This window comes from Homo sapiens, chromosome 9 (genome assembly GCF_000001405.40).
Source record: "Homo sapiens chromosome 9, GRCh38.p14 Primary Assembly".
Classification (NCBI taxonomy): domain Eukaryota; kingdom Metazoa; phylum Chordata; class Mammalia; order Primates; family Hominidae; genus Homo; species Homo sapiens.
Window position 1 is genome coordinate 42340209 of NC_000009.12, and position 3438 is coordinate 42343646.

Below are 3438 nucleotides of genomic sequence, written 5' to 3' on the forward strand. Positions count from 1 at the left end.
TCTCTGAAGATGTCTCTGGATGTTCCCATCAGGAGTGAACTCTGTGAATGAAACAATTTCAGAAAATAGAGGTCATTCAGTCTTTGGCCATTGCTGTACAATTGTGAATGAGTAACATTGCTTCATTATTAAGTCAATAATGCTATCATGAGGGCAGAAATGGAATTTCAAAACAGATCAGTTTATGAGTTTCCTTTGCTTCATTTCTTCCTTTATTAAATTTTTCTTCTTACAAACATGATTATATTTTCTTAAAGTTCATCTGCTGCTGCAGTTTCTATTTGAAGAGCATAATCAGTTTCCCAGCAACCAAGAATAGACATGGTGCTGTCTCAAGAATGAGGACTTAAAGGCTAATAATAGATTCCAGTGATTGTGACTTAGAAGCTCTGATTAAAGCATAATTTTCTCTGCCTCATAAGAACAGGAGCCCAACATAACTGTATTAGAATATGTTCAGCAACTTTATTTTTGCAAAGGGTTTGCCAACACTTGGATTTCTCAAAGTAGCTTTACAAGGTGACACTTCATTCATTACTACCCATAGTTAACTGTTTTAAAATTCAGACTTAGTGGAATTTGCCCAAGAACATACAATATAGCATGCTTAGAATTGAAACTTGCCTGCCATTCTTTCCTTTGTTTTAAGGCAGTGTTTTTCAAACCTAATGATCATTAAAATTGCCTGAGAATGTTGTTAAATGCAGATTCTAGCAAGATCCCAGGTGATGACAATACTTCAAATAGCAAGTTTCTAAGACATTTTGGGTTGCAGTTACAACTATACTTGCAAACAGAACCGCCTCCCGGGTTCAAGTGATTCCCCTGCCTCAGCTTCCCAAGTAGCCGGGATTACAGGCACCTGCCACCACGCCTGGCTAATTTTTGTATTTTTAGTACCCTGTTGGCCAAGCTGGTCTCAAACTCCTGACCTCAGGTGATCTGCCTGCCTTGGCCTCCCAAAGTGCTGGGATTACAGGCGTGAGCCACCGCACCCGGCCTTGCTAATTTATTTTTAGTCTATCATATTTATCAAATAAATAACAAACAAAAATATTATGGTAGGAGTTATTAAAAAATTATTGGCCCAGGGCCAGGTGAGGTGGCTCACACCTGTAATCCCAGCACTTTGGGAGGCCAAGGCAGGCAGGTCACCTGAGGTCAAGAGTTTGAGACCAGCCTGGCCAACATGGTGAAACCCCATCTTTGCTAAAAAAAAAAAAAGAAAAAAAAATTAATTGGGCTTGGTGGCACACGCCTGTAGTCTCAGCTACCTGGGGAGGCTGAGGCAAGAGAATCACTTGAACCCAGGAGGCGGAGGTTGCAGTGAGCCAAGATCATGCCCCTGCACTCCCGCCTGGGCTCCATCACAAAACAAAAAAAAGAAAAAAAAGGCAGATAAAGAAAAAATAATAATAACACAAAGAAAAAATAAAAATAAATTCTCCTGGCAATAGAGTCTTGCATGTTTTTCAGCTTTCCTTGAAGCTGAGATGTGCTCCTGACCTCAAAGGACCAGTCCCTTGGACCAGAGTATTGAGAACCATTTACCTGGGCCTGGAGCTGTGGAGAGATTTCCTGACTGTACATGTTCCCATCAGGCTAGGCCAGCCACCGAACATGGCCTTCAGGGCAGGACAGCAGAACTAGGGCCCTGCCTGGGGTACCTGGTGCTGGTCCAAGTTTTAGAGCCAGAGCATCTGCCGAAGTTTGGGGCCATCCTGGCGCAAGAGGGGTGCAGGGCGGTGGAGTCCTGGTCCTCGGGCTGATGGGCTCCAAAGCCTCTACAGGAAAGAGAGGGGGAGAGAGGAGAAGGAGTCTACGGGAAGGCTGCTGGGAGAGGCTGACCTGCAGGGGTGTGGTGGAGCCTAAGAGCAGGTGACCTGGGAAGACCTGGGGCGGGGAGTATGCCGAGGGGCAGGAGTGGGGGTGAGGGTGGGCAGTGATTCACAGATCTCTCTGCTGTCACCAGGGGAGGGCAAGCTATTGATCTGGAGTCAAGCTGGGAAGAAATCACCTGTCCTGCCCCTCTAGACCAACAAAAGGTAAACTGAGTCCCAGAGCAGGGAAGGGTTGCTAACACTCAAGGATCAAGCAGCAAAGTGGTGTGACCTGAAAGGGAAGTCATGAGAGACAAAAGGCTGAGGGCGGCACAAGGAAAAAGCTGGGAAAATAAGGCTGCCCAGCGAGAATGGACCAACACTGGCGCCTCACGCACATACACCCCACTTCCCAGCAGGTGCCCCGGGGCATCTCAGAAGCCAGCACAGCCTAGGCCTGCTGCAGAGTGAAAGAGTGAGCCCTGCTCATGCTGAAGCAACAGGAGCTCATCCAAGGTGGGGGGAAGGGCCAGTGTTGAGGCAGCCGGGGCATGTGCCTCAGGAGTGGAGCCTCTGGTGCCTGGTGTATCACTAGGAGTGAGTGGCAACGATGTGGAAGTGGCCAGACACCCCATGACCCAGGAGTCAAGGAACCATGCTCTTTGCTGTCCAGTCCCCCAAAACTAACACCTGCACTTCCACGTGAAGGAAGCAGAATGACCCCTTCTCCCCACTCCCTTTATCCTGAACATCAGCAGGTGGGCCCAGGACTACCAGGCAAATTCTGAGATCCAGGACCTATTGAGGAGTAGTGATGGCAGCAACTGGCCAAACCCACACTTTCCAGGCAGCCACAGGAGCTGGGCATGGCCGAGGCCTACAGACATGCAGGCAGTGCCCCAAGGGTGAGGACAAGGTAGATCATGCCTAATTCCTGCCATGAGTCTGACTGCATGCTAGAGTTTTGCTTGCTTGCCTTCAGTAATGCCTCTCCATCTTTATGGAATTTCCAGTTCTCAATAAAGTGTAGATACAGTATATAAGGCAATGTTACTTTGTGTGTAACACTGAATGTGTATTTTGATTTTATCTGCAGATCAGTGGCTTTGATTCAGGCAGCTTCAAAGGAATTGTGATCAAGTTATGATAATTTAGTCAACAAGCAGGTCAATGAGGGAGGTAAACTGAGGCAGGGCCCTCCATGTGATCACCCAGACAAATGCTCCATGCCTAATGCCAAGGCAAAATATTAGGTGATTATCCCAAAAGATTACATTAAAGCGTATTCCATAATTAAATATACATTTCAAATTTAGAAGTTAGTTTTAAAAGCTCATCAGTTAAGGTCTGGAACATAAAAAACATTTCATAAAATTAAGGTTTCGGCCGGGGGTGGTGACTCATGCCTGTAATCCCAGCACTTTGGGAGGCCGAGGTGGGTGGGTCACGAGGTCAGGAGATCGAGACCATCTTGGCTAACACAGTGAAACTCCCTTTCTACTAAAAATACAAAAACTTAGCCAGGCATGGTGGTGCACACTTGTAATCCCAGCTACTCTGGAGGCTGAGTCAAGGGAATCCTTTAAGCCCGGGAGGTGGAGGTTGCAGTGAGCCAAGA

The 3438-nt window shown here is 46.9% G+C and overlaps 1 annotated feature.

Annotated features, from left to right (window-relative positions):
• Nucleotides 1816–2317: an enhancer, noted in NCBI's record as "H3K4me1 hESC enhancer chr9:43471861-43472361 (GRCh37/hg19 assembly coordinates)". NCBI's record gives its function as "activates a minimal SCP1, AML or CMV promoter by ChIP-STARR-seq in naive H9 embryonic stem cells {active_cell/tissue: H9 hESC(naive)}" and the evidence as "EXISTENCE:reporter gene assay evidence [ECO:0000049][PMID:30033119]".